At 35.1% G+C, this 14,153-nt stretch overlaps 1 protein-coding gene across 13 annotated transcripts in view; it reads right to left on the bottom strand.

Moving 5' to 3' along the window:
* The window catches only part of NBEA (neurobeachin), a 730,467-nt gene that overhangs the window by 230,982 nt on the left and 485,332 nt on the right, over window positions 1-14,153 (bottom strand). For all 13 annotated transcript variants that reach the window (XM_047430271.1, NM_001385012.1, XM_006719803.4 and 10 more), the window contains one exon: window positions 9,362-9,486. In XM_047430271.1, coding sequence (XP_047286227.1) covers window positions 9,362-9,486 — 125 coding nt within the window. The remainder of the gene's footprint in view (window positions 1-9,361; window positions 9,487-14,153) is intronic.

Below are 14,153 nucleotides of genomic sequence, written 5' to 3'. Positions count from 1 at the left end.
TTTTCCATCTTGCAGATAGCATATGCACTAAGACAATATTCTCAGTTTTTGATCTCAATCCAATCATTTAGTGATTTTGGTATCCCCATGGCACATTTAGTAAATTTATAAACCTGACAATTCCCTAATTGATCACTGATGGAGCAGCAATTTTTGTGAAGGTGGCCTGGGTCATGAAGGTAGGGGAAGGAACCAGCAAGAAGTCAAAGAATTAAGGTGGCATTAATGACAACATGGCCTTCATTTGGGATATGGCATATCCCAAACATATAGGCTTTGATAGGTCATGCAAGTTAGCATTTATATTGTATTTTAATTACATTATGCCAAAAATGAATGGTGGTTTTGCTCTACACAGCATTAACAACCAGAAATCAGATTACTATAGATTAGAATTTTCAATGGAGAATTTATAGTAAGAATTTTAAAAATGTGAGGGAGAAAATCATGTTTGTACAGACAATTTAAGGAAAATAAATGGAGACAATAAATATGGGCTGGTTTTCCATGAGAGGCTTGGTGTCTTCTTTTAAGTATATCACAAAGTCCAATGTGGACAATTCACTTTAAAAGTGTGAGATGATGGAAAATGGGGGTAGGAGATTTTTGAGACAGGCAAACAATTGGCCCAGAGACATGGAAGGAAGAGAAAATTTTAAAAGTCTCTTTAATTATTAAAAAATGAAATACATAAGTGATGGTGCTGATACAGATTATCTAAAAGCACTTTTTAAAACACCAAAACATTTAAAAATGTTTTTCTAAATGGCATAGAATACATATCCTGGGAATGATACTAAGTTCATCTGTTCTGATGTATCTTTACAGACGATAGGCTGTAAGCGCCAACCAAATATTAGCAGGTAAACTTTACAGCAGGGAAATGTTCGGTAATGCCCTCATAGTTAAGGAAATTCCAAATGTATTTACTACAACACACTGTAGAGTAAGAGACTGGTATTTGGGTTGAGTTTTAGCTCTATCTATCACTTATTATTTAGCATGTCCCCTAATTTCTATGGTTTGTCATTTTCCAAATAAAAATTGTTTAACGACAATCCCCTTCACAGCAGGGCCACAACTGTGTTTCAGCCTCATCTTCATACCATTTCCCCACACTATCCTGTGTTCCATCATTTAGTACCATTTTCCATTCCTTGAATACATTATGTTGTATTATGTGCTCCCTTTTTCCACAATGCCACTCTCCCACTCATTGGCTTGGGAAGACTTCCATTCATCCTTTCGACTCCAGCTAAAATATATTTCTTCAGTTAGGCGACCCTCTTTACTGAGCTCCCATAACATTTTTAATATACTTTGATGAAAATATTACAATTGTATATTATAATCACTTGTAAATGTGATTGTGTGTACACTTTACCAAAAATTAGTCTAAAAGAAGCAAGATTCTGAACAATGATCTAAATTAGTTCCATGACAGTCAGAAATGATTTGGAAATACCATCCTTCTAGACCTAGTTTATAGAAAATCCATCCTTCAATGTTGTTACCCAAAGTGATGAATGGTGTGGTTAAAATCTGTTTGTATACCTTAAAATTAATCAGTTATCGGGCTGGGCATGGTAGCTCATGCCTGTAACCCCAGCACTTTGGGAGGCCAAGACGGGTGGATCACCTAAGGTCAAGAGTTCGAGACCAGCCTGGCCAACATGGTGAAACCCTGTCTCTACTAAAAATACAAAAATTAGCTGCGCGTGGTGGCGCATGCCTGTAATCTCAGCTACTCAGGAGGCTGAGGTGGGAGAATCGCTTGAACCTGGGAGGTGGCGGTTGCAGTGAGCCAAGATCGCACCATTGCACTCCAGCCTGGGCAACAAGAGTGAAACTCCGTCTCAAAAACAAAAACAAAAAAAATCAATCAAGTATAAATTAAATAAAAAAATAGCAACTGAGTAATAAGCACAAAGAATTGTATTAATGTGAATGTTCCAAATAGAACTGATAGAAGATCTGATTCTTTTTTTTTCTAAAATGCAAATTCAATTATTTATTTATTTTTTATTATACTTTAAGTTCTAGGATACATGTGCACAACGTGCAGGTTTGTTACATATGTATACATGTGCCATGTTGGTGTGCTGCACCCATTAACTTGCCATTTACATTAGATATATCTTATCCTCAAATGGTTTTTGTTTTATCTAGGAATATGAGACATCTAAAATAAAAATACCTTCTGAAACCTTTATGAAGTGACTTGTCATCAAATGCCAAATATTAAGGCCATTCAAAGGAGTAAGGGTCGTTTATGTCTCCATGCCATGGTAATTTCTGTTATGACCTCTGCCTTTACTCCCCGATAACCTGGCAAATTCATAATCAAGTCTTGAGACAATTCATAAGCCTTTACTTGTACGAAGCCTACTCCAACCAGACTCAGTAAGTCACTGTCTCTCCCTGTGCCCCTTTAGGAACTACTACATCCCTCTATGATAACTGTTTATTTTCTTTATTCCTTTCCACTGGACTAGGGTTATTCAAACTTCGGTACTATTGATATTTCGTGCTGGAATTTTGCTGTTGTCATTGTTGTGGGGAGCTCTCCTGTATGTGGTAGGATATTTTAGGCAGCATTCCTGGTTTCTACCAATTAGATGCCAGCAGTGCACTCCTACCCCTGCCCCTGTTGGGAATCACTACAGTAAACTATGTGCTGTTAGATGGAAGAAACTGATTGTCTCAGTCTCCAAATCCAGCAGGTAGCACGTGCATAGTATGTAGAAGTTATTCAATAACTGCTTTTAAATTAATAAAGTTACACAAGTCCTCTGAGTCTGTTTAAAATCTACAATCTGAACCTTCAACAGAAAACTAAGTGGCCTCTTAGAACATTTATTAATATGAAAATGCTACATAATATCTGTCAAATGTATTTTATAAGAATATTTTGTAACTTAGCCTTTATATAACCCATTGAAATTATTTTAAGAGACTGTAAAAACCATAGGGTGAAGACAAGGCTATGATACTAAAATATGACACTGACACCAAAAAGAGCTGACAGACACTTCCTGCATGTCTTTCTCTCTCTCTTTCTAAAAATTTACATCATTAACTTTCAATAAATTATTTAAACCATAACCAGATTACCTATTTCATTTCAAATAAGGAGATCCAATTAATAATACACCAACTAAAATGGAGTTATCAATGAACAATAATGAAGATGTTTACTAGAGTCTCTACATAATACAACCAATAGGTTATTAGGTTTTACAAAATCAAGTCATCTCTCTCACATGTTGTAAGAACTATAAAGTCTTGAAAAATGAAGTCAGATTACTTGATAGCTTCTTTCTCAACAATTGTATAGCTGTCTTAGTATTTTTCTATTCTCACTGCCTTTCTTATTCTTGATGGCTGAAAATAGCACATTACAGTAGCCATGCATATACCATCAAAACTAATTTAATTCCAGATTCATTACAGAGCTGCTTTTTATTCATCAAGGTCATAACTTGATGGCTTCACAAGCTTAGATAAATCAGGTGTTAAGCAGACACATCTCTGAGGAACATAAGAATGTTCTCATTTGCAGTTCTCAGCATATCTTATTATTTATTGCCAAAGAAATGACTGATTAACTTTGTCATTTTTGCTCCATGTTTTTTTTTTCCTCAGGCTGAAGCAGTCTGCTCTCTTCTACGATGCCTGATCAGACCTATTTAAGATGCTGTCTTTGATCACAGACATGGAGGTGCTTGCAGTCTTAGGTTTTGATGAAACATTGTTCCACTGTAATTTTATGAAAGGGCAACAGAGGCCTAAATAATAATTGACAGTCAACAAAGACAATCAAACTTAAGATTTTGTACCATTCTTCGACAACTACAATATTGACATGCTAGAAATGCACCAGAATTTGACTAGTCTAGGTTTTATTTTAATATATAAACAATATACAAAACCCTCCTTTTTCAATCATTTCCCTATTAGCTCATTTGCTCAAAAGAAAAAGAATTCTGCAGATCAGAAGGTGAGTTTATGAGTTTTAAAATATTTTCCTTATACTGTTCCATTGCTATGGTCCATAAAATTCATGGTAATCAATTAAATTTTCACTTGTATGAGATTTTACTATTAGAAAACACCTAAATAACACATTAAATACACGCAAAATTAGAACACTAACCAGCAGGGAAAAAATTACCTGCCTCTAGGTTTTCATTAATCACATTCCAACACCAGAGGCTGAAAGTATATCAAATCACACAAAATCTTTTGCACATGACAACCTCATAAATTATTCAACTCATTAGTATTACTAAAAAAGCATGAAAAACTCCATCAGTATAAAGGATATTTTCCAACTGAAAAAGGTCAACCAAGTTTTAATAATGAAATTGAAGGGAAAGCTTTTCAAAGTAAATATGAAATAAAATTATTTTCCTTTATTTCCTTGAAATTATATCCAATTCTGATTGTTTGCTCATTTAAAAGAAAGCATTGCCAATATATTATTAATATATTTGAGGCACCAAATAAATTGCCTGAAAATAATGTCATGAAATCCAAATGATGGCTAAATGTTCCTTCCCATCACATGAAAATGCAACTGTAATTTAAAATGTTTAGTTGAATTTAGGATATTAGAAAAAATCAAATGACTCAAGATATTTTTATTAAAACATGAAGTCTGCAAAATCAGTTTCACTTCTATTACACTAATAAAGGCTTATATTCTTGAACTACAGTATACTTACTACATTAATAGATAAGACGAAATCAATGGTTCAAATCCCAGGGATTGCTTTGATGGTCATGTAAAAATTTTCTTTCTAAGTAATTTAAGCTTGTTCTCCCAGTGTAGACAACATGTTGAAAATTCTGAAAACTTTGATAACTAATTCAAATACTTCTAGACATTCTGAAAGTTCCATCTATAAAATGTTCTTTTGTACCTAAAATCTTTTTTGTTGCTACCATGTGGATCAATATAAAATTTTTTGACCAAAGTTTTCAGCAGAAATTCTACACAGTTAGCACTTAACTTTCAAAGCAGATTTTTTTTTTTTTTTTTTTTGAGACGGAGTCTCCCTGTCGCCCAGGCTGGAGTGCATTGGCGCGATCTAGGCTCACTGCAAGCTCCGTCTCCCGGGCTCATGCCATTCTCCTGCCTCAGCCTCCCGAGTAGCTGGGACTACAGGTGCCCGCCACCATGCCTGGCTAATTTTTTGTATTTTTAGTAGAGACAGGGTTTCACCATGTTAGCCAGGATGGTCTTGATCTCCTGACCTCGTGATCCACCCGCCTCAGCCTCCCAAAGTGCTGGGATTACAGGCGTGAGCCACTGCGCCCGGCCTTCACAGTAGAATTTAACAACAGGGAAATTGAAATAGTGTCATTATTTAACACAGAGGAAGAGATCAGTTGAATTTCAATTTATTCTAGTAGTTTAGTCAGAATTTGCAGGTTTGTGCTATCAATATACTCTTAATCTACATCTATACAACTCCAAAACATTAAGTCATTTGGATGTTAGTCTATACAATGCCAGACTTCAAAATACTTAAACACATTTAAATGTTTAACGGCAGATGGAATATTCAGACGTCAGGCTATTTTTTTTTAACTTTTACATGGACGTCCTGGCAATTTGTATATACAAAATCTTTCTTTAAAAATATGAAATCTGTTTTCTTTTTTTTGAGTCCATTCTTTTTTTTTTTGAAACCAGTCTTCCCACAATATTATATTGCTTTTCAGATTTTCCAAAGAAAACTGTGGCGAATAATTTGAAATAGCTTTTTTTCCCCTGTCTTTTAAGTCATTTCCTTGGGTCAAGTTCCTAGATAGGGAATTGTTGGGTCAAAGATTATCAGCATTTTTGAGACTCTTGATGTGCATTGGCAAAATGTTTTGCAAAGGATTTGTTTCCAGCAATCCTCATTTACATTGTTTCAGCAACGTATATGAGATTCTTTTTATTTTTTACTGCAAACCCACTAATACCTAATATTACAAGAAAAAGGTTTCTAAGCTCATTTACAGTGGATAAATGATTTATTCTATACTTTTTTAAATTGCTTTTTCTTTTAATTCAACTTGCAGGGATAAAATTTAAACAATATCTGAAATAATTTCAAACTAACAGAAACATTTCAAATATAGTACAAAACTCCCATTTTTATCCTTATCCAGGTTTTCCCAATATTAACAAACATCTACACGCCCCCCCCACCCCACTCCTGCACATATCCATTATCACTAATCTTTTGAAAACTTTTTGAGAAGTTGCAGGTATGGCACCCTATTACCCCTAACTACTCCGTTGTATTTCTCAAAACAAGAACATTCCTGTCTAAGTACCATCAACCCTCCAACTCTGGAAGTTAGCATTGATAACAATACTGCCATCCAGATCATGGACCCCAGTCAAATTTTACCAACTGCAATCATCTAGAAAAATGTGCTGTAAGGCCGAGCGCAGTGGCTCACGCCTGTAATCCCAGCACTTTGGGAGACCGAGGTGGGTGGATCACCTGAGGTCAGGAGTTCGAGACCAGCCTGGCCAACACAGTGAAACCCTGTCTCTACTAAAAATTCAAAAGAGTTAGCCGGGTGTGGTGGCAGGCGCCTGTAATCCCAGCAGAAGAATCGCTTGAACCCAGGAGGTGAAGGTTGAAGTGAGCTGAGATCGCGCCATTGCACTCCAGCCTGGGCAACAAGAGTGAAATTCCGTCACAACAAACAAACAAACAAAAACAAACAAACAAATGTGCTGTAATAATCTATCTTATCTTTTTTGGTCTTCTCCAGTTTGGAATATTTTCTCAGTCTTTCCTTATCTTTTGGGTCCTTGGCAGTACAAAATCTGTTTTGAATTAAGTTTTTCAACATTTACTGGATTAAGTGCTTTGTAATAATTATTGACATGTACTTCCTATTTCTTCTGAAGAGATATTTTCTATATAGGTTAGAGTGCACATTAAGAGGTAGGAAGAAGGCACAATACTAAATTTCTCTCGTCAATTTGTGATTCTTCCCTCTACTTCTACGTATAGATCACTCCAGGGAGAGCTTCCCACTCACCTTCTCTACATCCTCTGTATTTACTCCCAACTCTCCACTCAGTCCTAAAGTCCATAGACTTGTGAACTGTGAGGAAGGTTAGAGGATAATTGTTTTTGGAGATAAAATTGTTTTAGTTCTCTTTAGTCTTCCACTCCCTGACCTTAGAATGACCATGGAGTAACTCCAATAGTACCATGTCGATTCCCTGAATATTTTACTGTGTAGATGTGTCATCTTTGTTCTTAATAGGTATAATAAAAACATACTCCTCTTTTCTTTTATAACAGAACACAACTCAAGAGGGATAGATAATGGGTTCTGAACGTTGCTTATGATCCAGATTGAAAATTCATAAATACTGTATTTTAAAATATAGTACATATAAAGAATATTTAGTATCACACCTCTTACCTATTTCAAAATTACGGTATTATTTTTTACTTTAGGTTCATTAACAATAGTTACTATTTTATTAAAATATGACTATCAGTTTGAAAAAGATTTTATTCAAAGATTTTAAATTTTGTTTCTTATAGGCTTTGACACTGGTTTATTAGAAATTATTTTACAAATTAAACACACAAAGTATTCACTTTTAAGAAGAAATACAAACATTTTTCTAAAAAAAGCCTTGCTTAAAAGTAATCTGTAGATTGTGGAATGTAATATAATATGAATTCTGTACAATTAAAGCTTTGGCAACTCAGTATTACTAATGATATCACTGTAGTATAAACTCTGTTACAAATTGTCTTTATATGTTTCCACTTTCAAATGAGATAAATTCAGGATTAATTGGTGAAAAAGTCTAAATTATTGGTTAAATGAAATGAAGGTTTAATAATTTTAAGATCATATTATAAAGCATGCCACTACTAGGTAGGCAGATATTTCTAAGATTCTCTCCTACAAGATCATAATGATAACTCATTTTGAGTTGGTATCAAATCCTTAGAGGGCTATTATCCTTAGGTGCTATTTTTAGTTATTCAAAGAAGACAAACTATAATTTTTTTCCAGCATATTTTTTCCATAGTTACTTTTACTATATAAAGTTACTGTATAACTTTTATCTTAGGTATAACAGTTTCATATGAAATCCTTATCTATTTTTAATGATATTTTGATGCTTATTAAGTTATAGCAATTCATAGCTTACTGGGAAAAGAAATTTTAAAAGCTTTACACATTTTGTCTTTTTATTACTTCCCTGTTCAATTCATTAAGAACATGAATGGTTTTACATGACATAAACTATGATTTGATATAATACTATTTATCAACTGTTTTTAAATTTTAAAAACAGATGGCTCACTTAGTACTCCCAAATAAAAGAAAATTAATATAATAAAATACAAGTAATTGAAGAACAAAAGTGGATAACAAACACATGGACAGTGTTCATTACTGGTATTTCCTTAGTGAATGTGGTTTGTAAAATTCTGATATACCCCATCACACTTTAACTTGTTACAGCATTTAAAAATGGGCAAGTAGACCAAATGTTCCTAAGATACTTCTTAGCAGAAAACAATCTAAAGTAGCAGCATTTTTATTAAACTACAAAAATATTTTGGTATTTGTGATTGTACAGTTTATAAAGAACAATTTAGGGTATAGTTCTACTGTAGTGTGATAATTAATGATACTGTAAGTAGGAGACCATCTTTTTCAAACTTCATTTGTAGTGCATTGGAGGACTGGAAATTTAAATTGGCAGCTTATAACAAGATTTTAAATTCTATTTTATTAAGCTGAAAGGAATAGGTGGGATTAAAACAAAATATCATATAAAGAGGTTATAAATAAAACTTTTTTAATATATACAATATGTATATGCATACATAAACATATACTCACAGTATACATATGTATATATATTACATGTGTATATGTATATTAATGCAGTATATATAAGTATGTACACAGAAACAAATTTATACATAAAATATCTAAGTCTGAGTACAGGATCACAGTATTTACTATGGGTCTTGGTCATCAAAGTTTGAAAGACACCGAGAAAGAAATTGATTTTATTCTTGTGTTAGGATATATGAAAGGACTGTTAGTTAATAACTAACTATGTGAAGTCCATTTAGCTCTTAAAAATAAGTTGAAGGCTACAAAAATATATCTAATCTGAGAAATATTGGGTTGATTAACAGTAACCTAAATGATGCTGAAGGATAAAGCAGAACAAAATATTTCTGACTCAAGACATGGAGAACATTAAATACTAGCGAAAAAAAAAGAAGGAATTCTCAAACACAAGGAGTCACCTCACATCCAGAAGTATTTTTGTGGAAGAAGCATTGGTACTAACCATATTCTATTGCAGCTTTCAGCAATGCTTCAGCATGAGTGGAGCCAAATGCATTGCGAACAAATCGTCTCCTTCGACGAAGATCATCTTCCCAGTAATCCAAACGCCAGAAATCATGCAATTGGCTAAGAGTAGAGGGAAAAAAAGTAATCCCTATTAATAACAATGCATAGCTGGAAATACATTTTTCTATAAAATTGAAGTTATTTTGTTGGTCTCATTGAAAAATTAAGATAATTTTGGAGATACTTATATTTTACACTTGTATTTGTGTATATATATACATATATATATATATTTCCTCTACAAGTGAAAAAGACTTAAAATAATAACATTCTCATATTTCAGGTATTATACCACTCAGCTCTGCTTTTTATTTTTTAAAACTTTCTTCTTTCTACTAAAAGCATTAATCATGTGGAGTTTAGTAACAAAGGCAACATCAAATTACACCGTAGTAATGGTACAGTTTGCTTTCTTTTACACTGTTTTTAACAAGGGTTGTAAATCACGGAATAGACCTCACTACAAATAGTTTACAATTTAATGACCATGGTTTCTTAGTAGGCTGAATTAAGAAGTATAAAATATTGCCCACTTGGATTTGGTGGAAAAATGATTAAAATAATGTGCTGAAATATTCATTGAAATAATTCCCCGCTGCCCACAGCAACCTGAGAAAAATGCAATTTTATCCATTATTAATAATACTGAATTAGAGCTGCAAAAATTTCCAGTATGTGGTAATTGTCTTGGTAAATTGTTACTCTAATGCTAATAGAGTTCTTGGATGATTCTACAGCTTTCAACTAATATAAACCATTAATAGCCACGGCCAACATTGGCCATCACTGTCTTTTATACTCTAAACCAATACTAAAAATCCAAGAGATATTTCAGAAATGATGGAAATAGCCCATTATATAGCCAATGAAACATTTCATCATATAATTTTTGTTTTCAATTTATTTTCAATAAACATTAGTAATAAATACCACTGCTTAAGACGTCAATTTTTCTGCATCTAGTAGTGGAGTAATACACTCGAAAGATAATATTCTAATTTTCCAGAGCAGCACTATTCATAAAAACATATAAAATACTTTCCTAGAAGATTTCATTTCATTATTTTGATATTTTACTGTAGAAGAACACTTTAAGTCTGATTAAGGCAGGACCTATGTATGTTTTGCTCATCATTATATTTCTAGCACAATGTCTCGCCCACAGTATGTTTTTACTAAATATTCATTGTATTAATGAAAACGTTTTTTTAATTTCAAAAAAAAGCTATGGATTTTTTCAATGTATGGCCATTGAGAAAAATAATTTCATTTTGAAAAGCATTTTAGATTTTATGGCTATATAATTTTGTTATCTATAACTTCATTATAAAAACCCAATAGTATAAAGGGCATATAAAAAGAACTAAAATTGTAAGTCTTTGAAGTATGCTTTAATGCACTTATTTTTCCTGTACATCATAATTACAACTTAATTCTTCTGTTAAATAATGATTACTTGATGAATAATAGTAATAAATAGTATACCTCCCTAATTTAAAATAGGATGATTTCTGTCCTTACAAATACAAACTAATCCCAGTAATTTAAGGAAGACCATGCTAAAATCATGCTATATTGATTTTCATTAAGATTATGTTAAAATTAAGTCAAAATTCACCAAAAGTGGTCAGAGAGCTAATGTTATCTAAAATTTCTAACCATAGACATACTCTTCCCTATTCTTCTGTAAGGGCAGCTGAACAGTTCTGGAAAGAGTATGTAAAACAAACATAAGAAGACTCTGAAGACCTGAAACCCCATACAAATTCTAGAAGATAACACTGGAAAAACTCTTCTAGACATTGGCTTAGGCAAAGACTTCATGACCAAGAACCCAGAAGTAAGTGCAACAAAAAGAAGGATAAATAGATGGGACTTAATTAAACTAAAAAGCTTCCTTTTGCACAGCAAAAGAAATAATCAGTAGAGTAAACAGACAACCCATAAAATGGGAGAAAATTTTCATAATCTATACATTGGGCAACAGGAATCCAGACAAATCAGCAAGAACAAAACAACCAATCCCATCGAAAAGTGGGCTAAGGACATGAATAGACAATTTTCAAAATAAGATTGACAAATGGCCAACAAACCTATGAAAGAATGCTCAATATCATTAATTATCAGAGAAATGCAAATTAAAACCACAATGCAATACCACCACGCTCCTCCAAGAATGAACATAATCAAAAAATTCAAAAAAAAAATGTTGGTGTGGATGTGGTGAGAATGTAAACATTTTACACTGTTGGTGGGAATGTAAAGTGGTATACCCACAATGAAAAACAGTGTGGAGATTCCTTCAAGAACTAAAAGTAGAGCTACCATTTGATCCAGCAATGCCACTCCTGGGTATCTACTCAGAGGAAAAGAAGTCATTATACAAAAAAGAAACTTGCACATGCATGTTTATAGCAGCACAATTTGCAATTGCAAAAATACAAAACCAGCCCAAATACCCATCAATCAGTGAGTGGATAAAGAAAATGTGTGTACACACACACACACACACACACACACACACACACGTTGGGGACTCAGGGGAAAGGGTGGGAGGTGGGTGAGAAATAAAAGACTACACATTGGGTATAGGGTACACTGCTCAGGTGATGGGTGCACCAAAATCTCAGAAGTCACCACTTAAATAACTTATTCACATAACCAAATACTGCCTGTTCCCCAGAAACCTATTAAAATAGATTTTAAAAAAGAGAAGACTCTGAAAGGTGAGAAAAGGCAGACTGGCTAAGGACCCCAGGACCTAAGGAACAACATATTGATGAGTTGTTTTTGTTTCATATATCCCACACTTGGAGGCAAAGAGGCCAACAGCCCAGATAGACCAATGAGTACAAACAAACAAACAAAAAGCCCCAGCAAAAGCCTGCTCCCTCTAGTCAAAAGATCAAAAAAAAACAGCAGTTTAGCAAGATAGAAAACTTTCAGACAACTGCTATACTCCAGCCAAACATCACAGAAAAATTGTGTCCCCACCTGACCTACACCAGCAAAGGATGGGTGTGAAACCCAGACATGTACCCTCATGAAGGTGTAATGAGACACCCAACACCCTTGCTGGGTGGTATCAGAGAACACCAAGTCGACAGCCAGGACTTCATCTCTGCTGGCTGGTAACAAGGTGCCCCACTCACATGGAGTCAGTGGAGACCATGTGGAGAGGTTGGATTTCCACCTCCCATTGGACAGTAATGGGGCATCCCTCCCCCTCCCCACTGGGGAAGTGTCAGAGTAAGCCTACTGCAGAGTCAGGACTTTCACTGCTGACAAACAGCAATGAGGCCAGCCCACCAGTGGACATCACATGGGGACAGGGAACTCCCACCCCCATCAAGCAGTAAAGAAGAGCCTCCGACTCACTGGGTTTCAATGGAGGCCAAGTGAAGAACTTAGATTTCTACCACCATCTAGCAGATATAAGGCAGTGTCCCCACTTCCAGATGAAGCAATGTTACAGGAAGTCTAAATAGAAGGTTTAAATAAAATAAATTATCTCAGAAAAAAATAAGAAAAGGTCCAGGTTTCAATCTAAAATCACTTGTCATATCAAGAACCTGGAAAATATCCAAGGGAATGTAAAAAGATCACCCTAAAATGCCAACATCGAAATGGCAGAGAATTTAAAAGAGCCATGATTGAAAATATACTTCAATAAGCAATTATGAAAATGCTTGAAATGAATGAAAAAAATACACTTAGCAAAGAAATAGAAACTCTCAGAAAAGAAACAGAAGATGTAAAGAAGAACCAAACAGAAGTTTTTGAACTGACAAATATAATAACCAAAATAAAAGCTCAGTAGTTGTGCTCAACAGCAGAACAGAAGGAACAGAGGGAGGAATCACTTAATTGGAAGACAGGATAATAGAAATTATGCAAACTGAATAACAGAAGGAAATAGAGGAAAAAGTGAACAGAGCCTTAGGGATCTGTGGAGCACAACATTTAGCATTTGTGTCACTGGAATCCTAGAAGGAGAGGAGAAAGTCGGCAGAGCTGAAACAATGTCCAAAAAAATAATGGCGGGTGGGGGAGGAGCCAAGATGGCCGAATAGGAACAGCTCCGGTCTACAGCTCCCAGCGTGAGCAACGCAGAAGATGGGTGATTTCTGCATTTCAAACTGAGGTACCGGCTTCATCTCACTGGGGTGTGCCAGACAGTGGGTGCAGGACAGTGGGTGCAGCGGATCGTGTGCGAGCCAAAGCAGGGCGAGGCATTGCCTCACCTGGGAAGTGCAAGGGGTCAGGGAATTCCCTTTCCTAGTCAAAGAAATGGGTGACAGATGGCACCTGGAAAATCAGGTCACTCCCACCCTAATACTGCGCTTTCCCAATGGGCTTGAAAAACGGCACACGAGGAGATTATATCCCGCACATGGCTCAGAGGGTCCTACGCCCATAGAGTCTCGCTCATTGCTAGCACAGCAGTCTGAGATCAAATTGCAAGGTGGCAGTGAGACTGGGGAAGGGGCGCCCGCCATTGCTGAGAATTGATTAGGTAAACAAAGCAGCGGGGAAGCTCAAACTGGGTGGAGCCCACCACAGCTCAAGGAGGCCTGCCTGCCTCTGTAGGCTCCACTTCTGCAGGCAGGGCACAGACAAACAAAAAGACAGCAGTAACCTCTGCAGACTTAAATGTCCCTGTCTGACAGCTTTGAAGAGAGTAGTGGTTCTCCCAGCACACAGATTGAGATCTGAGAACGGGCAGA

This window comes from Homo sapiens, chromosome 13 (genome assembly GCF_000001405.40).
Source record: "Homo sapiens chromosome 13, GRCh38.p14 Primary Assembly".
In the NCBI taxonomy this organism is placed as follows: domain Eukaryota; kingdom Metazoa; phylum Chordata; class Mammalia; order Primates; family Hominidae; genus Homo; species Homo sapiens.
This window is presented reverse-complemented; position numbering and strand designations above follow the sequence as displayed.